The sequence below is a fragment of the Homo sapiens genome, chromosome 17 (genome assembly GCF_000001405.40).
Source record: "Homo sapiens chromosome 17, GRCh38.p14 Primary Assembly".
Taxonomy (NCBI): domain Eukaryota; kingdom Metazoa; phylum Chordata; class Mammalia; order Primates; family Hominidae; genus Homo; species Homo sapiens.
In genome coordinates, this window is record NC_000017.11 from 61,821,914 (window position 1) to 61,848,399 (window position 26,486).

Sequence of the window (26,486 nt, forward strand, 5' to 3'; positions counted from 1 at the left end):
TGAAGGCTCAATGAATATTACTGGTAGAAATAAGCAACAAAATAAATAAATCTCACATTAACTAAAACTGCACATGAAAACATTTGTTAATGACTAAAAATTGTCAGAAGAATCAGTAATAGCCACCAGTAAAAGAACTAAATGACAGAAGACATAATAAAAACCTCGTGTGACTGGTTTTTGATGTGAAAAATATAAATTAATGAATGAAATGTCTTCCCTATAAGCGTTACATAAAATTAGTAAATGACAAAAAATAAAAGACAATAAAAGAAGAAGAAAAGCTATTTGACGAATAGACTGATAATGGGATTCTCATCATTTTTTTCTGTAAAATCTTTGATGTTACTAGAATTTTTATAAGCAAATATCACTTTTATAAAAACAATTACATTTTTTAAAAACATACACAGAAAAGAAAACAATATACAGGGTAGAGATACTACCAAAAGGAGAAGTAACTAGTTTTTCAGGGCTTGCAGAATCATTTTACTCAATTTGATAAGATTTTTGTCGTACTAATAGATCCAGTTATGTGCCCTCTGGGAAAAATGCACCAAAAAGCGCCAAGGAAGAAAGGGAACTGGACAGACTATCCAGTAAGGCCAGTCAAATCAATCATACAGGTTAATGAGATGACTGAATAGGAAAACAGACTGCTCTCACATCTACTATTGTTCAGAATATTAGATTAAGGAAAGAGCTGAGACAAGGTTTCCTTGTGGAAGGACAGGAGAAAACATAACATGGTTATAGCTAAGGAAAAGAATCAATAGAAAGGAGGAAAAATAATTGACAAACATCCAGTGATGTGTAAATGTGTAGTGGGATGTGAATGGGGAAAAGTTTGTGTTTAAAAAAAAAAAGGCCCTGTATGACTAATATGGGGACCAACAAGTTTTCAGTTTAAAGGTGGGACGGTTCCAAATGACAACGAAGTCCCATGTGTAGTGGTGCTGTTGAATTAATGGCTAAATTAGGTCGTAAGTTTCAAGAAGGCTGAGGAACTATGGTCAAAATAGCAGATCATCAACACAGATCATGAAGTACCCCAGGATGGTGACTGCTTCTCCTACTCCAGATTCACTGAGTAACAAGGAGAATCTGACATTTTTACTGCCCTGATGTGTGCCTACTTCACTAAACCTCAAAAGCATCTTTCTTTAAAAGATTCATACATGTTTCCAATGCTGTTGTCAATATCAATTATCTTCTGAATGAAACGTTAACCTTGCACAAGTAATGCAACATCTGGCTTATAGTAGTTTTCACTTAGAACAATGCATATATTTGTTTAAGTTTTCCAAAAGGCCAACATTTAAAGAAACAATAAATGTCCTTAAAAATATGATTGTATGGCCTTCTGCTTTTAGCCATACGAAAAAACAGAAATCTTATCTTGCACCATAAACTACTAACAAATTGGACAAGATATATGAAACAGTACTTTTCAGACACTGAATTGTGATCTCAGAGAAAAGGAAACAAAGAGGTGATAACTACATTACTTTACTTCTACAGATGAAAACACAATAACTGAAAAGAAAAATCCACTAGTAAGATTTAACACCAAATTAGAAATAGCAGAAGAGATCAAGGAGCTTGACAAATCGGCAATAGAAGGTAGACAAAATGAAGCACAAAGAAGAAAAAATAGCTTAAAAAATGAACATATAGTCAGTGATGTATAATATCAAGCTGTCTAATATACACATAATTGAAGTCTGAAAGGAAAAAAATGAGTACTTAAGAAAATATTTTTAAATGGCTCAAATTGTTCATAATTTGATGAAAACTATAAAACCATAGATCCAAAAAGCTCAATGACCCCAAGCACACAATAAACACACACACACACACACACACACACACACACACACACACCTTAGTTGAATTGCTGAAAGCAGAGATAAAAATAGAATTTTTTTTTTTGAGACGGAGTTTCGCAGTTGTTGCCCAAAGTGATCTCAGCTCACTGCAACCTCCGCCTCCTGGGTTCAAGTGATTCTCCTGCCTCAGACTCCTGAGCAGCAGAGATTACAGGCATGTGCCGCCGCACCTGCCTAATTTTTTGTATTTTTAGTAGACACAGGGTGTCACCATGTTAGCCAGGCTGGTCTCAAACTCCTGACCTCAGGTGATCCACCCGCCTCAGCCTCCCAAAGTGCTGGGATTACAGGCATGAGCCACCATGCCCGGCCTAAGATAGAATTTTTAAAGCAGCCACAGATTACTCTATAGAAACTATGTAAGACAAGCCAAGGGCAGAATATCTTTTAAGTGCTGAAAGAAAGAAAATGTGAACCTAAACTTCAATACCCAGTGAAAATGTGTTTCAAAACAAAGCGACGGTTCCTATCAATAACCCAATGAAGTTTCTTGCAGAAATAGAAAATACCATCCTAAAATTCACATGGATTCTCAAGGAACCCCGAATAACCACAATAATCTTGAAAAAGAACAAAACTGGAGGTCTCACATTTTCTGATTTCTAAACTTACTACAAAGCTACAGTAAGAAAAACAGCATGGTACTGGCATAAAAACAGAAATATAGACCAATGGAACAGAATAGAAATTCCAAAAGCAAACCCCCACATATATGGTCAAATAATTTTCAGCAGCCTATCAAGACCATTCAATGGGAAAAGAACAGTTTTTTCAACAAATGGTGCAGGGAAACCTGGATATCTACACACAAACAATGAAGTTGCACCATTATAATATATGGAAAAATTAACTCTACATGGATCAAAACCTTAAATATAAAAGCTAAAACCATAAAACTTTTCCAAAAGCACTGGTGATAAAAAATGGACTTCATGAGATAAATTGGACTCATGAAAATTAAAAACGTTTATGTATCATAGACCACCATCAACAGAGTAAAAATGCAACACACCAAATGGGAGAAAATATTTACAAATCATGTATCCAATAAGGTATTAATATCTGGAATACATAAAGAACTTCCACCAACTCAACAACGACAAAAGCAATCCAATTCCAAAATGGACAAAGGCAACATCATACTGAATGAGCAAAAGCTAGAAGCATTTCCCCTGAAAACCAGCACAAGAAAAGGAAGCCCGGCCGGGTGCAGTGGCTCACGCCTGTAATCCCAACACTTTGGGAGGCTGAGGCAGGCGGATCGCAAGGTCAGGAGATCGAGACCATCCTAGCTAACATGGTGAAATCCCGTCTCTACTAAAAATACAAAAAATTAGCTGGGCAAGGTGGCGGGCACCTGTAGTCTCAGCTACTAGGGAGGCTGAGGCAGGAGAATGGCGTGAACCTGGGAGGCGGAGCTTGCAGTGACCCAAGATTGTGCCACTGCACTCCAGCCTGGGCGACAGAGCAAGACTCTGTCTCAAAACGAAAAAAAAAAGAAAAGAAAAGAAAAGAAAAGGAAGCCCTCTCTCACCACTCTTATTAAACATATTATTGGAAGTCCTGGCCAGGGCAATCTGACAAGAGAAAGAAATAAAGGGCATCCAAATAGGAAGAGAGGAAGTCAAACTATCCCTCTTTGCAGATGACATGATCCTATATCTAGAAAACTCCACAGTCTCAGCCCAAAACCTCCTTAAGCTGATAAACAACTTGTCAGGATACTAAATCAATATGCAAAATTTACTGACATTCCAATTCACCATCAACTGTCAAGCTGAGAGCCAAATCAGGAATGCAATCCCATTCACAATTGCCACAAATAAATAAATAAATAAATAAATAAATAAATAAATAAATAAATAAAATAACTGGGAATACAACTAACCAGGTAGGTGAAAGATCTCTACAAAGGGAACTACAAAGCACTGCTTGAAGAAATCAGAGATTTCTTACAAACAAATGAAAAAACCTTCCATGTTCATGGATAGGAATAATCAGTATCATTAAAAAGGTCATACTGCCCAAAGCAATTTACAGATTCAATGCTATTCCTATTAAACTACCACTGACATTCTTCAGAGAACTAGGAAAAACTCTTTTAAAACTCATATGGAACCAAAAAAGAGCCCAAAAAGCCAAGGCAACCCTAAGCAAAAAGAACAAAGCTGGAGGCATCGCACTACCCAACTTCAAACTATACTACGTGGCTACAGTAATCAAAACATCATGGTACTGGTACAAAAACAGATACATAGACCAATGAAACAGAATAGAGAGCCCAGAAATAAGGTCACACCTACAACTATCTGATCTTGAACAAACCTACCAAAAACAAGCAATGGGGAAAGGATTCCCTATTCAGTAAATGGTGCTGGGATAACTCGCTAGGCATATGTAGAAGATTGAAACTGGACCCCTTCCTTACACCGTATTCAAAAATTAAGATAGATTAAAGACTTAAATGTAAAACAAAAACTATAAAAACCCTGGAAGACAACCTAGGCAATACCATTCTGGACATAGGAACAGGCAAAGATTTCATGATGAAGACAACAGAAGCAATTGCAACAAAAGCAAAAATTGACAAATGACACCCAATAAAATTAAAGAGTTAATGCACAGCAAACGAAACTATCAACAAAGTAAACAGACAACCTACAGAATGGGAGAAAATTTTTTGCAAACTATGCATCTGACAAAGGTCTAATATCCAGCTTCCATAAGGAACTTAAATTTACAAAGGAAAAACAACCTCATTAAAAAGTGGGCAAAGGACATGAATGGACACTTTTCAAAAGAAGATATATATGCAGCCAACAATCCTATGGAAAAAAGCTAACATTACTGATCATTAGAGAAATGCAAATCAAAACCACCACAATGAGATACCATCTCACACCAGTCAGAATGGCTATTATTAAAAAGTAAAAAAAAAAAAAAAAAAAAAAAAAACAGATGCCGGTGAGGTTGCAGAGAAAAAGGAAAAAGGAACACTTGCACACTACTGGTAAGAATGTAAATTAGTTCAACCATTGTGGAAGACAGTAGACAGTGTGGCAATTCCTCAAAGACCTAAAAACAGAAACACCATTTGACCCAGCAATCCCATTACTGGGTATATACCCAAAGAAATATAAATTGTTCTATTATAAAGACACATGCACACGTATGTTCATTGAAGCACTATGCACAATAGCAAAGACATGGAATCAACCTAAATGCTAATCAATGGTAGACTAGATTTTAAAAATGTGGTACATATACACTGTGGAATACTATGTAGCCATAAAAAAAATGAGACTGTGTCCTTTACAGAAACTTAGATAGAGCTGGAGACCATTATCCTTAGCAAACTAATGCAGGAACAGAAAACCAAATACTGCATGTTCTCACTTATAAGTAGGAGCTAAATCATGAGAACATATGGAAACATAAAGGGGAAAAACACACAATGGGGCCTATCAGAGGGTAGAGGGTGGGAGCAGGGAGAGGATCAGAAAAATAACTAATGGGTACTAGGCTTAATACCTGGGTGACAAAATAATCTGTACAACAAACCACTACCACACAAGTTTACCTATATAACAAACCTGAGCATGTACCCCTGAACTTAAAATAAAAATTAAATTTAAAAAAAATGGGGCTGGGAGTGGTGGCTTACACCTGTAATCTCAGTACTTTGAGAGGTAAGGCAGGAGGATCACTTGAGACCAGAAGTTCAAGGCTAGCCTGGCCAACATGGTGAAACCCCATCTCTATTAAAAATACAAAAAATTAGCCAGGCGTGGGGGCACACACCTGTAATCCCAGCTATTCGGGAGGCTGAGGTGGGAGGACTGCTTGATCCTGGGAGGCGGACACTGCAGTCAGCTGAGATAGTGCCACTGCACTCCGGCCTGGGCGACAGAGTGAAGCCCTGTCTCAAAAAAGGGCAAAGGACTTGAATAGACATTTCTCCAAAGAAAATACACAAATGGCTAATAAGCAGAAGAAAAGATGCTCAACATCACTAATCATTAGGGAAATGCAAATCAAAAACACAAGATACCACTTCACACCCTTAAAAATGGCTATTCTTTAAAAAGGACAACAAAACAGATAATGAGGTTGGCAAAGATGTGGAGAAACTGGAACCCCTGTGCATTGCTGATGGAACTGTAAAATGGTACAGCCACTGTGAAAAACAGCTTGGCAGTTCCTCAAAAACTTAAATATAGAATTACCATATGGTCCAGAAATTCCACTCTTAGGTGTATACCCAAACGAATGAAAACAGAGACTCAAACAGATACGTACACCAATGTTCACAGCAGCATTATTCAAAATAGCAAAAAGATGGAAACAACCCAGATGTCCACTGGCAGATGAACGGACAAACAAAATGTGGTATATCCATACAATGGAATATTATTCAGCCATAAAAAGAAATAAAATTCTGACACATACTACATGGTGGATGACCTTGAAAACATTATGCTGAGTAAAATAAGCCAGACACAAAAGGACAAATATTGCATGATTCCACTTACATGAGGTATCTAGAGTAGTCAAATTCATAGAGACGGAAAGGAGAACGGCATTTTTCCTGGGGCTGGACAATAGGGAAATACAGAGATATTGTTTCATGGGTATGGTGTTTCAGTTTGGAAAGATGAAAAGGTTCTGGCACTAGATAATAGTATATAAATATGCATAATACCACTGAATTTACACTTAAAAACAGATAAATGGTAAATTTTATGTTATATATATTTTACCATTAAAAACATGAAGGTAAGAAAAAAAGCTGAAAAAATATTTGCAATGCAAATGTTAAATAAAGCTCTTTAAGCTAATAGAAAAGTTACACAATACAGAAACTTGGACCTACAAAATGAAGGGCACCAGAAGTGAAAAACTGGAGGGTTAAGAAAGAAATTATTTTCCTCATTTGTAAATTTGTACATAGCTGATGATTTAAACTAAAAATAACAAAACACTGTGAGGGCTATGACAAATGTAGAAGTAAAATATTTGACAAAAATGGCACAAAACATGGGAGAGTAGACACGGAAGTATATTGGCAGAAGGTTCTTACACATTATTTGTGAGTTGAAATATTATTTGAAGGTACACTGTGATAAGTTTAAGATGCAAAGTATGAAGCAACTCACAAAAATAAAACTAAGAGGTATACTTAAGAAGACAGTGGTGAAGGTAAAGTAGAATCCTAAAACATGTTTAATTAATTCAAAGAAGACAGAAAAGGGGAATAAAGAAAAGTTGGAACAAACAGAAAACAAATAGTAACCACAGTGATAATTACACTGAATGTAAATAGTATAAGTGTTCCAATTAAAAAGAAGAGGTTGTCAGATTGGATAAATAAAGAAGACAATTATTTATAAGAAACTTATCTTAAATCTAAAGACACAAATAGGTTAAAAATAAAAGGATGAAAAATATATACTATGGAAACATTAATCCTAAGAAAGCTGGAGTGGCTATATCAATGTTAGCCAAAATAGATCTCAGAACAAAGACATTTCATAATGACAGATGGGTTAATACATCAAGAAGACATAATAATCTTAAATGTGTATACAGCTAATAACAGACCATGAAAACCCATGAAGCAAAAACTGGTAGAATTGAAAGAAAAGGCAAATCCACAATTATAGGACCCTTACAGTATTCTCTAATTAATTTATAAGTAGACCAAAAAAAACCAGCAAGGATACAGAAGATCTTAGCAAGATAATCAACAAACTTGACCTAACTGATTTTTATAAATGAATACCCATACTTTCCAAAAACTCACAGAGCATTTGCCAAGACAGATCGTCAAATTTAAAAGAACTGAAATCATATAGAATCTATTCTCTAACCACACAAAAATAAATTAGAACTCAGTAAGAGAAAAATATCTAGGAAAAAACACCTAGTTAGTGTTTATTTAGACTTCTAAATAAATCTTGGGTCAGAGAAGAAATCACAAGGGAAATCAGAAAAAAATGTAACAACATCAAAATTTGTGGGACACAGATAAAGAAGTGCTTAGAGGGAAATGTATAGCTTTCATTGGTGTTTTATTTAGGAAAAAAAAAGGTCCAAAATCAGTTATCAACTATTTAAGTTTCAATCTTTTTTTTTTTCTTTTTTTTTGAGACGGAGTTTCGCTCTTGTTGCCCAGGCTTGAGTGCAATGGCACGATCTCAGCTCACTGCAGGCTCCGCCTCCTGGGTTCAAGCAATTCTCCTGCCTCAGCCTCCCGAGTAGCTGGGATTACAGGCGCCCACCACCATGCCTGGCTAATTGTTTGTATTTATAATAGAGACAGGGTTTTGCCACGTTGGCCAGCCTGGTCTCAAACTCCTGGCCTCAGGTGATACGCTCGCCTCAGCCTCCCAAAGTGCTGGGATTACAGGGGTAAGCCACCATGCCTGGCCAAGTTTCAATCTTATGAAGCTAGCAGAAGAGAAAATTACATCCAAAGAAAGTAAAACAATGGTAATTAAAAAAAAAAAAAGCAGAAACCAACAAAATAGAAAATGGAAAAACAGAAAGTCAACAAAAACTTTTTAAAAGATCAATAAAATGGATAAACCTCTACTACCTATTACAGATTGAGCAAAATGAATTCTAGATTAAGCAAAAAAAAGGAGATAGACACAAATTCACAAATTATGAATATCAGAAATGAAAGAGGGCATATCACTACAAATCCTACAGACACTTAAAGAAATAAGAGAATATTTTGAACATTATGCCAATAAATTCAAAAACTTGAATGGACAAATTTATTGAAAGATACTAATTACTAAAACTGACTCAGAAACAGAAAATGTGAATACTCCTATACTCATTTTTAAAATTAAATTTAAAAGTAAAAGTCTTCCCAAAAATAACACATAAGGGCAAGATGGCTTCCCTGGTGAATTCTATCAAAAATTTAAGGAAGAAGTAATATCAATACTTCCCAACTCATTTTATAAAGCCAACATTACCTTGATATCAAAGCCAGATAAAGACATTACAGAAAACTATAGACCAATATTCTTATGAACATAGATGGAAAGAATCCTTAACAAAATTTAGCAAGTCAAATCTAACAATTATATAAAATGGGTCCTATACCATGATCAAGTGGGTTTTATTCCACTAATTTACAGTCAGGCCAACATTCAAAAACTAATCAATGTAATTTACCATATCAACAGGATATAGGAGAAAAAACATATAATCCTACCAAGGAATGCAGTAAAACTTTAAATATAAAATCCAACATCCACTCATTATAAAAATGTTCAGCCAACTAGCGATAGAAGGAAACTTCTTTAGCCTGACAAAGGGCATAGACAGAACACCTAGCACAAATGTCATACAGAACAGTGAGGGACCAGAATGTTTTCCACCACAAGGTTGTGAACAAGGCAAGGGTATCCACTCTCATCACTCTAATTCAGCCTTGTACTGCATGAAAGGTAAACACTGTAAAGGAAGAAGTAAAACAGTATTTACTAGAGAATGAAACATGCAACTTTGGGTACTTAGAAAGTCCTAAAGAAACTCCAAAAATATCAACTAGAACCAATAAGTGATATAACAAGTTGCAGGTTACAGGGTAAATATACAAAAATGAATTCTACTTCTATAATAGTAATGAATAACTGGAAGGAAATTATAAGTGGAATCATACAATATCTGTCCTTTTATGACTGGCTTATTTTACTTCACATAATGTCTTCAAGTTTCATCTATGTTGTAGTACATGTCAGAATTTCCTTCCTTTTAAAGGCTCAATAATATTCCATTGTATGTATACACCACATTTTGTTTATTCGTTTATTTATCAATGGACATTTTGGTTGTTTCCACCTTTTGGCTATTGTGAATAACACTCCTATGAACACTGGTGTACAAGTATCTGAGTACCTGCTTTCAATTCTTTTGGATATTTGCCTAGAAATGTTATTTCTGGACCATATGGTAATTCTGTTTTTAACTTTCAGAGGAATCAGGAACAAGGTTTTTCAGTTAAACATACAGAAAGGAAGAAAATTAGAATGGGCCCTCTGGTACTGGAATGGAACTGGATGTATTGGTATAAACACTCATAATTTTCAGTGTACAGACAGACAGATACAGAAAAAATATAGACATAAATGTATATGTCTATGAGTCTGGGTTTGTGTACACAATACATTGTGTATATTCTCTAGCTGTCTGCTGAAAGGGCCTGGAGCAGCAACTCCAACAGCAATGAGCAAAACTAACTCCCAGAACACAGCGTTCAAATGTTATTTTTCACTAAATGGAACCAGGGTTCCTTGGAGAAATGTCTGAATCCGAGACTAGGGCAGGGAAAATATAAGGTGAGCCTGGAACACTATCTTTTGCCAAAAAATAAGGAAGCGTTCCAAGAATGATTGATATATGTCAGAAAGACACAAGCAACTTAACTGGTTTCCCACTTGAGTACCAAAACAAATCATATAATAATTATAACTCACCGAATAAAATGGAAAATCACAAGTCCATAAAGATATAAATAAAATGAGTAAACTGAATTTTTGTAAGGACATGTTATTTATATAATTTCAGAGTTCTTCCCCATAAAGTCCTCTTTTATAAAGGCAAAAAGATAACTGTAAAGTTATATTTTTTACCTAGCAGATATCATATTAATCAAGTTATCAATCATTAATGAGAAAAAATGAAACTGCGTGCCACCTTATAAGATGCAATGAGCAGAAGGCATCACTTCTGTGACATTCCTGCCAAAGATAAATAACCTCAGTCTAATGAGAAAACCCAAATTAAGAGACATTCTAGATAAGCTGTAATATTCTGAAGTGTCAAAATCATGACAGTCAAGGAAAGACTGAAGAAGTGTTCCAGACTGAAGAAGTTACTAAAGTGATAACTAAATGCAATGCATGGTTCTGACTGGATTCTTTTGCTTTTATAAAAGCGTTATTAAGACAACTGCTAAAATTTAAACCGGTTCTGAGTATTAGATGGCAACAATGAATCAATTTTAACTTCCTGATTCTTATGGTTATATTGTGATTATGTATAAGAATGTCTTTGCTTATAAGACATAGACACTAAAGTATTTCAGGGTGAGGGAACATCAGGGCAACAACATACTCTTAAATGGCTCAATAAAAAAAGATATTTGGATTGTACTTCCAATTTCTCTATAATTTTGTGACAGCCAAACTTTTAAAAAGCTAAAATAACCGAAAGATAAATTTACTGGGCAGACAGTTGGTCAATTAACGAAGTAGTTTTCAAAGGTAAAGTTATCTTTCCACACCCAGTATCCATGAATGAAAACGTTCTACATGACAATTGCAGATACTATCACCACTGAATAGCTACACTCATGTCGGATGGGTTGCTATACATATTTATTTCATTAATGTATCTACACATCAAGAAAACTTAGAGGAGTGGCTGAATTTTGTCAACTTTCTCTGAAATATTCACCAAGTTCACTCAATATGATAAAGAAGATTTGAAACTTTTGAGAATTAAACATTTCCACCATAGAGAATACTATGTTTTCTCCAAGCTCTCAAAAAATTATAATTACTGGGCCAGGCACAGTGGTTCACTCCTGTAATCCCAGCACTTTGGGAGGCCAAGGCAAGCGGATCATTTGAGGTTGGGAGTTCGAAACATGCCTGGCCAACAAGGCGAAACCCTGTCTCTACTAAAAATAAAAGAAATTAGCCAGGCATGGTGGCAGGCACCTGTAATCCCAGCTACTCGAGCGGCTGAGGCAGGAGAATTGCTTGAACCCAGGAGGTGGAGGTTGCAGTGAGCCAAAACTGCACCACTGCACTCCAGCCTGGGTGACAAAGCAAGACTCCACCTCAAAAAAAAAAAAAAAAGCCATAATTATTGGAGCTGAAGGACATACTCAAGCAATTAGTCATCCATTCTATCATCCTACCCCTAGGCAAATTTGCAGACAAGGCAAGAGATTCACACTAACTCCACTAACCTCTGGCCTAACTTAACCAAGATTACAATAGTATAGAACGGGCTGGCAAACTTTTTCTCTAAAAGGCCAGAGATTTTCCTGCTGGCTGAACATGAAAAGAAAGAAAAGAAAAATACATAAATAGACAGAGTATATATTTTAGGTTTTGTGAGCCATATGGTCTCTGTCACAACTACTCAACTTTACTGTTATAACGCAAAAGTTCCACAGACAATATGTATAAACAAATGTAAAATGCGTTCAAAAAAACTTTATTTATAAAAGCAGGCAGCAGGCTGTATTCTGCCCATGGGTCATAGTTTGCCAACCACTGGCATAGGAAAAAAGATTACGACAAAAAAGTATCCATCAAAATAGACCTGCTAAATTTTACTATGACCGTGATATATTAGGTGAAAAATAAAAGCTATATACTATAATCCTAATTTTGTGTGTGGGGAGGGAGTATATATGTAATATATGTGTAATATATGTCATATATACTACATAACAAATATATGTAATATATACTACAGTATCAACCCCTTTACAGGGGTTGAGCTCTGTACAACACCTGATTGCAGGAGTGAGCCACCACGCTCGGCCCAATAATTACGATTTTTTTGAGAGCCTGGAGAAAACATAGTAGTGTTCTCTATGGTGGAAATGTTTACATATATACTCAGTTGATACTGGGTATATATGTAATATATACTACGTAACAAAAATGGCAACAAATTCTACTTATCTTTGTATATAAGCTCCCTTTCAAGGTTACTTTGTAGCTCTTCCTACCAAGATGTGAGCTTTACCCCTTGAGTCTGGATTTGGTCATGTGATTTGCTTTTGGTGACTGGAACATTAGCAAACCTGACACAAACAGACTCAAAAGGCATTTGTACACTGGGGCTTGTTCTCTTGCTGCTCTTGGAACCCTGAGGCCACCATATACATAAACCAGAATTAGCCTGCTAGATGATGAGAGAGACCCACCTCATGGTCCCAGCTGACTACCAATCAACTCCCTGAAGCAGGGCTGCCTTGCTGACTTACAGCTGACCTGCAGTTGACCACAGACACATGAGTAGGCCACCTGAGATCAGCAGAAGAAATGCCCAGCTGAGCCCACCCTAAATTGCTGACCCCCACAACAGTAAGCTAAATAAATGGTTGGTTTGTTACAGCAACAGATAACATTGCATGTGTGTGTGCACGCACATGTGCGCACTTAAGAATAGACAGCAGGCAGAATATCAGGGGTTGATATTGAGGAGACAGTTTAATTAAGGATTAATGTTAATAATTTAAGTACACATTTTGGTGGTTCCCAAATTTTCTCTTAGATGATGCTTTTATATTCAGAAAAAAGTTATTTAGAAATATAAAATTTAATTCAATATAAAAGAGTATTTTTCATTATTTCCACTAAATATTGAAAGTCTAAAAATATGGACATCTTGACCTGATGTATTTAAATGAACTGATAGATTTTACTTTCTAACAGAGAGTTTGGAGATAAATAGTTACAGGTACATAGGAAACTAAGCAAAGGACAAGACAACTACTAGCACCAAAAAAAATAAATACTGGTTTGGGGAAAGAACTGTAATAAGTTTAAATATTTATAGAATTATAACAATACAAATACCAAATGCTGGCAGGCTGAAGGGTAGAAGTAATGAGAAAGGAGAAAAGAATAGGAGGAAGACAACAGAAAGTATCTAAAACCGAAAACTCAAGAGAAAAGCAAAATATGCATGCTACTTCAAAAACTATCAGAATACAAAGGATAAATAATTGAAAATTATTTACTTCAGATAGTGGGAATTGGTGAATAATAGAATTAGGGCAGGGGTCTACTGCTTTTCTGTTTGAAGCCAAGTGGAATTCTTTGACATATTTTTTCACACATACTGTTAAAAAAAAAAAATTAAAGAGAAAAAAAAGTCCAGGAACCAATCCAAGTACATATAACAATTTAGTACATGATAACAGCAAAACTTCAAAACTGGAAAAATGATTAAGTGACACTGGGACAACTGATCAACTATTTGGGAAAATATGCAATTAGAGCCTGACCTCATACATGCATGAAAATAAATCCCATAAACAAGAGAGTTAAATGCACAAACAAAACTGTAAAAGAACTATTAAAAATATCCTTATAAATTTATAGAAACGGATCTAGAAAGATCCTCATGAAAGTGTTCATGGTGTTTCCTTCTGGAAAGCAGAAAGGGAGATGGGGTTAACATAAGGGAGAACATTTTAATTTTTATTCTGTATTGGTTTTTATAATGTTAAAGGTTTTTCAAAAAATGTTATTACTCTTTTTTTTTTTTTTTTTTTTTTGAGACAGGTTTTGCTCTGTCACCCAAGCTGGAATGCAGTGGCATGATCACAGCTCACTTTAACCTCTACCTCCCGGGCTCAAGCAATCCTCCTGCCTCAGCCTCCTGGTAGCTGGGACCACAGGCATGAGCCACCACACCAAGCTAATTTTGTTTGTTTGTTTTTTGTAGAGACAGGGTCTTGCTATGTTGCCCAGGCTGATCTCAAACTCCTGGGCTCAAGTGATCCACCTACCTCAGCCTCCCCAAGTGCTGGGATTACAGGCATAAGCCATCATGCCTGGCCAAAAACTATTTTTAAATCTGCATTAAGTCACCTGTATTTAACAATACTGTCATACCCTCTTAGGTATAAGGATCTGAGTAAAAATTGTAAGCTACAAGAAACAGTGGTGAATCATACATCTACTTAACTATGGCCATTTTTTTCATTCATTTATTCAACAAATAATACAAGTAGCTACTAGGTGCAGGCTCTGTGCCAGATGCTGGTTATAAAAAACTGAAAAAAAGAGACATTACACTTGTCCTTATGGTCAGTCTGGTAATGAGACAAACAAAACAAAAAACAGTTAAACCTACAAATAAATAAATAATTATAAATTTGGGTAAGCATTGTAAATGCTTAGATTTGGTGTTGAGACACTAAAAAAGGGACGAATCTTGAATAAATAACCTGCATGGTAATGCATATAATATGACCTGTAACAGTATAAAAATGAACTGTCATCAAAAAGTCATCTGGAAGAGTTTATTCAGAGACAGAATAGTGAGGTGGTTTAGAGGATCAATTCCAGAGCCAGACTGCCTGGGTTTTAATCCAGCTTCTACTCACCAGGTTTGTGACATGAACAAGTTATTCAAATACTCTGTGGCTCAGTTTCCTCAGCTATAATTGCGGAAAATATTAATACCTTCCTGATACGGTTGTTATAAAGATTGAGTTAAATTCTTTTATTTTGAAAACTGTCAAACCCAAAGAAAAGTTAAAAGAACATGACAATAAGCATCAACTCACATGAACCTGTATTTGCCAGGTGAATTAATATTTCTAAAGTGCTTAGCAGAGTGTCTGGCACATAACACAGTAAGCACCAGTATCAGCATATATATGCAGTTATGTTAAATAGCTATTTTAAATAAAAGTAAATTAAAACCATAAAGTAAAAGAAAGAAGGGTAGGAAGGAAGGAAATAAAAATGGGGTATGGGAGGAAGAAAAAGGAAGAAAAATAGCCTAAGGATCGCCCCAGTGTTAACACTTTGTAAGAAGGTCAACAGCGCACTCTGCTGGACCCAAGTGTCTTCCACACACCAGGCCCAAGTTATGAATTAAAATAATATGCTACTGCTACATTAAATCAAATATAATTACTTTAATTAAAGTATATAAAGAATGTTAGCATTTATTTAATGAATAAATAAAAAGCAGGTATAAGCATAAGAATATATCTGAAGACAACCCTGGCTATTGTGAGGATTTACTAAAAAAAGAACAGAATATAAATAAATCTAGAGAAAATGATTATGAATGATAGAACAAAGTAATATCAAAACGTTAACATACTATTCTAAAAAACAATGTTTTTCTTAACTATATTTTGACCATGTGGAGACAGATGCTTCACTAGAACTTTGACATATGAATTGTCAGATTAAGAAAATAAATCTGAACTGTAAGGAAAGGGATCAAGCAGGGGACACCAGAAAGTTAATTATATAAGAAAAGGTACTGACACTATCTTCCGACTTGAAAAGAGAGTTAGGAGACTAGAAATGATAGAAAAATAAAGAGACAACAATCTACTTCTCCAATCCACTAGGTGGAAACTAAATGATTTTCATAAAAACTAAGAAAATTTGAAGAACCTAAAAAGTTTAATGTCAAATTCAGGGGAAAACAGAAATCATCAAACTAATTTACCATTTAATTTATGGAAGAAGGTTTGTCAAAAGTAATGCAACTGCAGATTTGAAAAACGTGAAGACTAAGACACACCTTTGCAGGGATGAGAATTAAACCATTAATTTATGAATCCAAATAAATATTTCTATTTAAAAAATACTGTACTCCCTAGTATCATATAATAAAAAGCAAGATAGGAAAAGCGTCCTTAGAATTTAAAGGTGTTAGAATTCAATTAGATATAACGTATCTCCTGACCTCGTGATCCGCCCGCCTCAGCCTCCCAAAGTGCTGGGATTATAGGAGTGAGCCACCATCCTGGCTAACACGGTGAAACCCTGTCTCTACTAAAATATAAAAAATTAGCTGGGTGTGGTGACGGGCGCCTGTAGTCCCAGCTACTTGGGAGGCTGAGGCAGGAGAACGGTGTGAACCCAGGAGGCGGAACTTGCAGTGAGCCGATCGCGCCACTGCACTCCAGCCTGGGCGACAGAGCGAGACTCCCTCTCAAAAAATAAATAAATAAATAAATAAATAAATAAATAAATAAATAAATAAAGCATCATTAAATCTAGTCTCCCATTCTTTTTCCTTCCATATGAAGGAACTGGTTTTCACAAAAAAGTTACTTACCCAAGTCTATCAATTTACCTTATTCAAGATTATTACAAGGTCTAGATTAAAATACAACAGATAAAATGTGAGGCATTTTGGTCTGAAGAAAAAAGCAAAAATAAAAAAATATAAAAAAAAGTGAGGCATATGATCTGTCAGCATAAGAAAAGTTCTAATATATGGACTACTTTTTTTTCAATTACTTTATCCAAAAGTTTTGGCAATAAACTCATTTCAAAAGCTGCTGTATAATAAATATTAAAACTTACGACATTAATACACATGAAACTATTTTTCTTCTACTTTTCATGAAACCACCTATCCCAAAATCTACAGAAAATACTTTTATGATTTATAATAAGTCACTTTGCAAAGACTAAGAAATGTTACAGCAGAAACCAAAGTAATTTCCTACAAGGAAAAATATTTACTCCCCTATGACACCCAAAAATCCCATTTTTTAAATAAATTACCTCTACTCATATCCCCATTATTTTTTCTTATATTACATTCTTGGAAATAATTAGTCCTTGTTCTCTGAAAACCTAGATGTATTATTTAATGCTAGAAATCCATGAGAAATTTACTAAAAATTTACTTAACATACAAAAAGGAGAAACATTCATGCTCACTAAAACTATACATTTTATAATAATTATATTTCTATTATAAGTACTTATCCTATTTTTATGTTAGGAAGAAAAAAATAAAGTTGAAAATACAAATCATTTTACCTATGTATTTTTGGGTTTTTTTTTCCCATAACCTTTCAGAAAGCACATAAAATTACTTTATACGTCATGTTTTTCATCATAGACTACCATGAAAAGAAACAAATATTAGAGCTCAACCATATGTTCTTTGCATTGCAAAAGTGCTTTGATGTCTGTTAAATTTACTTTATGCATGTTTAATTAGTATGACATATATCTCTTACATCTTCTTGCAAACAAAAATTCAGTGTCACACTAGTGAAATGTTATCATTTGAGGGACTAGATTTAATTGAGAGATTTAACTTGTTCAAGAAGTTTTCAGACTTATGAGAAATTGTCAGAGGCCTATATCTTAATGTTATGAGTAATAAATCACCCACTTATGAAAAATTATTCCATTTCTAGAGATATGTAGAGTTATACCACCTAAAGCCAAGGAAGAAAATATGCAATTTCTAGCTTAAAAATAAAACAGATATAAAGATACAGATATACAATTATAGATACAGCTATATTTTACCAATGAGCAGACCATAATCAATGATCAACATATATCAGCATACTACATAACCAAAAGGAGAAATCAATCAAAGCATTAGGCTTAAAATTAAGGTACTCAACCAAGGGCACAGTAGATGTGCTTATGGTCAAGCGGTTTAGACTCAAAAGATTTCAGCCATAAACATCTTCAACAGATATCAAAAGAATTTTTGGCCAGGTTCCGTGGCTCACGCCTGTAATCCCAGCACTTTGGGAGGCCGAGGCAAACAGATCACCCGAGGTCAGGCGTTCAAGGCCAGCCTGGCCAACATGGTGAAGCCTCATCTTTACTAAAAATACAAAAATGAGCTGGGCGTGGTGTCAGGTGCTACTTGAGAAGCTACTCAAGAGGCTGATTTAGGAGAATCACTTGAACCCAGGAGGCAGAAGTTGCAGTGAGCCGAGATCGCCCACTGCACTCCATCCTGGGTGACAGGGGAGACTCCGTCTCAAAAAAAAAAAAAAAAAAAAGAAAAGGAATTTTCTACTAAACTCTAAACCTAACTCCTCAAAATTTATAATGTTGATCAGTATTATCAACAATAACATTAATAATAGCTTTCAGCAGCATTTAAAAATAAGAACTACAAGGCCAGGTGCAGTAGCTCACACCTATAATCCTGGCATTTTGGGAGGCCAAGGCAGGTGGATCGCTTAAGCCCAGGAGTTTGAGAGCAGCTTAGGCAACATAGCGAAACCTTGTCTCTAAAAAAGTTAACCAAATAAATAAAATGAAAATAAGAACTACATATTACTCCAAGCAACCTACAGATTCAATGTAATCCCTATCAAAATACCAATAACATTCTTTACAGGAATAGAAAGAACAATCCTAAGATTCATATGGAACCACAAAGACCCTGAATAGCCAAAGTAATAGTATGCAAAAAGAAAACTGTAGGCACCACGCTATGTACTACACAAAGCTATAGTAACCAAAACAGAATGGTATTAGTATAAAAATAGACACATAGACCAATGGAACAGAATAGAGAACCGAGAAGTAAATCCAGGTATTTACAGTTGACTGATTTTCAACAAAGATGCCAAGAACACATATCGGGGAAAGGACTCCCTCTTCAATAAATGGTGCTGAGAACACTGGATGTCCATATGCAAAAGGAAAAAACTAGATCCCTCTCACCATCTACAAAAACCAACTCAAAATAGATTAAAGACTTAAACATAAGACCCAAAACTATAAGACTACTAGAAGAAAACATAGGGCAAAAGCTTCAGGACACTGATCTAGGCAGATTTTATGGGTAAGAATTCAAAAGTACAGGCAACAAAAACAAAAATAGACAAATAGGACAGTATCAAACTAAAAAGCTTCTGCACAGCAAAGGAAACAACAGAGTATAGAGACAACCTGTAGAATGGGAGAAAATATTTCCAAACTATTCATCTGAGAAGGGACTACTATCCAGAATATACAAGGAACTCAACAGCAAAAAAAAAAAAATCTGATTTTAAAATAGGCAAAGGGTGTGAATAAACATTTCTCAAAAGATACATAAAGCCAACAAGAACATGAAAAAATGCTGAACATCACTAATCATCAGGGAAATATAAATCAAAAGCACAATAAGATATCATCTCACTCAGTTAGAATGGCTTACTATCGAAAAGACAAAAAAAAATAACAAATGTTAGTGACGATGTGGAGAAGAAACTCATATACTATTAGTGGAAATGTAAATTAGTACAGACATTACGGAAAACAGCAATGGAGGCTTCTCAAAAACCTAAAAATATTACTACCATATAATCATATAATCCAGCAATCCTACTACTATTTATCCAAAGGAAAGAAAATCTAGAGTACAGTAGCATGATCATATCTCACCACAGTCTGAAACTCCTAGAGTCAAGTGATCGCCCATGCCTCAGCCTCCCAAGTAGCTAGGACTGCAGGCACGTACCACCACGCCTGGCTAATTTTTTTAAAAATTTTGTACAGATGGGGTTCTCGCTATGTTGCCGGGGCTGGTCTCAAACTCCTGGCCTGAGTGATTCTCCTACCTGAGCCTTCCAAAGTGTTGGGATTACTGGTGTGAGCCACCACACCCAGCCAACACCATGTTTATTGCAGCGCTATTCATAATAGACAAGGAGTTGGCATCAACCTAAATGTCCATCAACAGATGAATGGATAAAGAAAATGTGACACATATACACAATGGAATATTATTCAGCCATAGAAAAATATTGAAACCTTGTTATTTGCAGCAACATGGGTAAGCCTGGAAGATATTAAGTGAAATAAGTCAGGCATAGGCAGGTAAGTACTGTATGTTCTTACTCATATGTAGGAGCTAAAAAAAATGAGCTCATAGAAGTAGAGTAAATTGTGGTTATCAGAGGTTAGGAAGGGGTGAGGGGAGGGGAGGATAAGGAGAGGTGGGTTTACAAATTCATAACTACAGCTAGATTGGAGAAACAGGAGGAATAAGTTCTGGTATTCTATAGCACTCTAGGGTAAATATGGTTAACAATAATTTCTTACATATTTTCAAAAAGCTGTAAGAGAGAATTCTGAATATTCGCAACACAAAGAAATGACAAATGTTTGAGGCGATGGATATGTTAATTACTCTGATTTGATCATTACACATCATATACATGTATGAAAATTATCACACTGAATCCCATAAGTATGTATAATTATTATGTGTCAACAAAAATAAACAAAAAATAAAGATCAGAACTACAAATATGTAATATTATTAGTCGGTATTATATAGAATCTTTTATCAGCAGCAGCTAAAGGTAAGAACTACAAATATGTATCCATCTGCTGCTGTTACTACTACTACAGCTGCTGCTACTTCTACTACCACTTGGCGCTTAAACTCTAAGGTATGCCAGATACTCTCAGCACTGTATAGATATCAACTTGTTTAATCCTCCTAACGGCCCCGTGAGATAGGTACTATTACTAACCCCATTTAACAAATAGCTAAACATAATACCAAGAGTTTAAAAAATCAAGGTTATACAGTTAATAAAGAGTAGAGCTATGATTAAAATCCAAGCAGTCTCAAGATATGAAAATAACCTAAGTGTCTGTCAATGGATGAATAAAGAAAATGTGGTGTGTATGTGTATGTCAATGGAATATTAGCCCTAAAAAAGATCCTGCTATTTGTGACAACATGGATGAACCTGGAGGGAGGACATTATGCAAAGTGAAATATGTCAGATGTAGAAGGAAAAATACTACATGATCTCACTTATACGTGGAATCTAAAAAAGTCAAATACATAGAAACAGAAATCAGAACAATGGTTACTGGGGCAGGGAGGTGGGGGATTTGAGGAGATGTTGATCAAAGAGTAAAAAGTTGAATCTACATAGGATGAATCAAGTCTAGAGATCTAATGAACAGCATCATGACAACAGTTAATAATACTATATTCTAGGCTGGATATTTCGATATTGGCTTTAAAATTTTCAGGTGTTCTCAACACACACACACACACAAAAGGTAACTATGTAAGGAGATGAATATATTAATTAGCTTGTGATATGATTTGGAAGTGTGTCCCCTCCAACTCTCATGCTGAAATGTGATCCCCCAAGTTGGAGGTGGGGCCTAGTGTAAAGTGCTTGGGTCATCAATGGCTGGTGCCCTCCTCACAGTAATGAGTTGAGTTCTTGCTCTGAGGTCACACGAGATCTGGTTATTTAAAACAGTGTGGAACCTCCTCTGCTCTCTCCTCTGTCCTCTCTTTCCATGTGACAAGTTTGCTCTCTCTTTGTCTTCTGGCATGCTTGTAAGCTTCTTGAGGCCCTCACCAGAAGCAGATGCTGACACCATGCTTCCTGCACAGCCTACAGAACTGTGAGTGAAAATAAACCTCTTTTCTTTATAAATTGCCCAGCCTCTGGTATTGCTTTATAACAATTCAAACAGACTATCACAGCTTGGCTGTAGTAATAATTTCACTATGTATATATATATTAAAACATCATGTTTTACACCTAAAATATATATAATTTTTATTTTATGTATTTATTTTTTATTTTTTTTTAGAGACAGGGTCTCGCTCTGTCACCCAGACTGGAGTACAGTGGTTCAATCATAGTTCAATACAGCCTCAATCTTCTGGCTCAAGGGATCCCCCTCCCTCAGCCTCCTGAGTAGCTAGGACTACAAGTACACACCACCACACACAGCTATTTTTTTTCTTCTATTCTTTATAAAGACAGGGTCTCGTTATGTTGCCCAGGTTGGTCTTGAACTCCTGACCTCAAGCAATCCTCTCACCTTGGCCTCCCAAAGTGCTGAGATTATAGGCATGAGCCATGATGCCTGGCCCAATCTTTATTTAAAAATTAAGATCAGGCAGTATGTGTCCAAAGTCCATTCTCTTAACCAATAAAAACAAAACAAGCCAGGTGCAGTGATTCATGCCTATAATCCCAAAACTCTGGGAGGCCCAGGCAAGAGGATCACTGGAGGCCATGAGTTTGAGACCAACCTGGGCAACACAGTGAGACCTCATCTCTACAAAAAATAAAAATAAAAAATTAGCTGGGCATGGTGTTGCACAGCTGTAGTCCTTGCTATTCAGGAGGCTGGGGTTGGAGGATCACTTGAGCCTGGGATTTTGAGGTTACAGTGGGCTATGATCACACCACTGCGTTACAACATGGGCAACACATTGAGACCCTGTGTCTACAAATAAAGCAAACAAAAACAATTCCCAAGAAAAAAAAATCTTAATCACAGGTGACTCTATACTTGATTTGTTTATCTGTGAGCTTCTACATATTTCTTTCCTTATCTTGGTGTTAGAACCCTATTTAGGTGGCTCCAGGACTGCAAAGAGGCATTTTAGAGAGAATATAAAATAAAGTGATTAGGGCATTTGCCAGAACATGAGAATGCCTAGGCAGGATTTAGCTCTACTATTTACTAGCTTTGTGATCTTAGGCCAGTTTCTTCCTTCTCAGAGTTTCCTCATCTGTACGATGGGAATACCAATATACCTGCTTCATAATCATTGTAAGAACTCAGTAACATTCAACAAATAAATATTTATTAGACAACTAATATGCACCATATGCTATTCTAGGCATGAGGGACACACATGAAAAAGACTGACATTACATCGTAATAGGACAGACAAATAATAAACAAGTAATCAAGTAATTTCAGATAATAGTAAGCCCATGAAGGAAAGGAAAGAAAATGAATGAGAAAACACTGTGGCAGAGCTCAACATATAGCTTACATTATAATGATGTTGATGATTATTGCAATTTAACAGAAGAAGCTTCTACATAATTTCTCCAACTATTAATATAAAGCTTCAGTGAAGATCACCAACAAAACACAAATTAAATGTACAGTAACTGAAAACAAATCTGTGGTTGCCTGGGAATGGGGGGACAGGGCAGAAAAAAGGTCCATCAGTCTATCTTGCACTTAGGATGGACCTTTTCTAGGCATCATTTTGCAATATCATGCACTGGTCATTTAAATAATATTTAGTTCGCTGAGTTTAAGTTCATTGAGTTTTACAGATCTTACAAATGTTGACACATTTCATTATATAAATATAAAAAGTCATATTCTGTAATATCACCAATTTCATCAGAAAAGTCTGTAGTTATCACAAAGCTGCCAAGCTCAGAGTATATACAAATTTTTTAAAATTCTGATTTTCACTTGAAAGCTCAAATTTTATCTGGCTCATTTTATCATAAAGAATTACCATGGTTAGTATATCATTCACTCTTTTTCAAGCAAAAATGATGTTCCATGACAAAAAGTGGCTAGTCAGCTCACAATCCAAACTATCCTACAGGCGCTTCTCCCCAGGACATCCATCCTGCTTCTGTATGCAAAAGTGTTTTATGAGTTCTATTCATTTCTTCAGACAGAATGTTAAAAACCTAAACGGCTGAGATTAAATAAAATTAGTAATTTTTACTGCTTCATCAAAGACATTCTTAAATGAAACTGGTTTTTTTTCAAAACTGTGATCTAATGATGCTGGAAAACTATTATTAACATAGGTTGGGTTGAGGCCAAGGTGGGCGGATCACGAGGTCAGAAGATCGAGACCATCCTGGCTAACGTGGTGAAACCCCGTCTCTACTAAAAATACAAAAAATTAGCCAGGCGTGGTGGCAGGCGCCTGTAGTCCCAACTACTCGGGAGGTTGAGGCAGGAGAATGGCATGAACCCAGGAGGCGGAGCTTGCAGTGGGCGGAGATCACGCCACCGCACTTCCAGCCTGGGTGACAGAGCGATACTCCGTCTCAAAAAAAAATTAAAATAAATAAATTTAAAAAATTATATACATATAGAGAGAGAGAGAGAGAAAAAGAGAGAGAGAGAGAAAGAGAGAGAGAGAGAGGTTGGAGCCAATACCTTGATTTCTGCTAAGGCACCAACAGTTTTACCCATTCTTGCTTTTGCGCCACCAGTACAAATGTCAAGACAATCCAAAAGGCAATAATGTATTTTTTCCTTTTTTTTTTTGAGACGGGGTCTCACTCTGTCATCCAGGCTGGAGTGCAGTGTGGTGCAATCTTGGCTCAGTGCACCTTTGCCTCCTGGGCTCAAGCCATCCTCCCACCTCAGCCTCCCAAGTAGCTGGGACTACAAGTGTGCACCACAACACCCGGCTAATTTTTGTATTTTTTGTAGAATCAGGGTTTCGCCATGTTGCCCAGGCTGGTTTCAAACTCGTGAACTCAAGTGATCCACCCGCCTTGGCCTCCCAAAGTGCTGGGATTACAGGCGTGAGCCACCACGCCTGGCCTACAACATCTTAATATTATTACAAAAATAATTTTCACCTCACAGATCACTCCCCAAAAAAATCTCAATATCTAGAACTCCTTGGACTACTCCTTGAGAACTGTTGCCCTAAGAATCCTGAAAGAACTGTAAGGAGTTGGAGAATTTACAAACATTAAAATACAGAACAGAAAAAAATGACTTTCAGATCTCTCTCTAGTCCAATTCTCTTATTTTATAAATAAGGAAACGAGGCATAGAGAGAATAGGCTTTGCCATCTCACACATTAGTAACAGAGATGTGACAGCATTGAGGACTTCTGAGTGGGTTGCTACTGTCCTTTGTATTATACTATTGTTCCTCTTTTGTCAAAAATTGGTTTAGAAAATTCCATATCTTCCTTCTTTAAAACTGAACAATGGCATTAATACATACTTTCTGTGGCGAAAAGGAGTTTATCTTTTCCAGTGGAGAGTTGAGTTTTACAGTCTTTCCTGAATCAACTTTTGCATCCAAATTGTGTACTTCTGTTCCAAAGCAATGACGTTTTCTAATCTGTAAACACAGAACCAAAATGAAGTTTAAGGTGAACTAGAAGTTTAACTGGCTAGTTGTTCTCAAAGGCCAAAACAGCTCTATGTATTTTTTTCCTGCATCCAAAAAAAGACTATTTCTAACAGGCAATAATAAAAGAAATTTTAAAAATGCAAATAAGCACCTCATTACAACACTTAAAGGAAATAGAACATAGTAGTGACTCATGAATCTTAGCCAAACTATCTTTAATTAGTGATGTATCAAAATTAGAGTATTGTAAAATGAACTTCTCATAAAATAGTCCCATCATATGGACATCAAATATAGCAATATTGGAAAGTCCAATCTTATATCTAATTGGAAAATAAAAGTAAATCAAAATTTAAGCATAATTCTACATTGAAAAGAACTCAGAATAAAACTTTTAATGTAAACAGTCATGATTTCCTACAGGATGGAATAAATTACTCGATTACTATTATCACTGTTACTTACTAGATATTTGATAAACCAAGTTGCCTTTGATTAAATTTCTTTTATAAATACCACTAAGTTTTCTTTCCAAACTGTATCCATGCTTTTCCTATTTGTGAAAAATCTATTCACTATATAATTGGGGAGAAAAGCATTTCTATTGATAATCTCATTCCCGCCAAAAATGAAATGAGAACCAGTGAAGTGAGGGAATAAATGTTTTATGTTGAGCCCTACCTGATGACATGCAAATCTATGAATACATTTTGTCGGGGGGAAATCTCTATAGGTTCACACCTCATTTGTCATTGGTACTTTGATAAAATAAACTAGTTCATTCTATTTCTAAAAACAAGGCTGAATTATAGAAATTTATAAAGACTGTAAGTGGAACAGTTAAACTACATAAGACTTCAAGAACCTTGAGTATACTCAATTAAAAGTACCCAGTTACTTACCTACAAATAACATCCTAATTAATAATTTTTTTATTTTATGTTTTTATTTATTTATTTTTTAGAGACAGGGTCTTGCTCTGTCACCAAGGTTGAAGCATAATTGCATGATCTTAGCTCACCACAGCCTTCAACTCCTAGGCTTGAGCAATCCTCCTATCTCAGCCTCCCAAGTAGCTGGAAAGTAGTCTGTAGGGCTACATGTCTGATGAGCCTGTAGGGCTCATGCCACCACACCCGGTCTTTTTTTTTACTTTTTTGTGGAGAC

At 35.7% G+C, this 26,486-nt stretch overlaps 1 protein-coding gene across 22 annotated transcripts in view; it reads right to left on the bottom strand.

Annotated features, from left to right (window-relative positions):
* BRIP1 (BRCA1 interacting DNA helicase 1) overlaps positions 1–26,486 on the bottom strand; it is a 184,390-nt gene that overhangs the window by 142,775 nt on the left and 15,129 nt on the right. For all 22 annotated transcript variants that reach the window (XM_047436893.1, XM_047436891.1, XM_011525333.4 and 19 more), the window contains exon 6: positions 25,188–25,307. In XM_047436893.1, the coding sequence (XP_047292849.1) occupies positions 25,188–25,307 (120 nt within the window). The remainder of the gene's footprint in view (positions 1–25,187; positions 25,308–26,486) is intronic.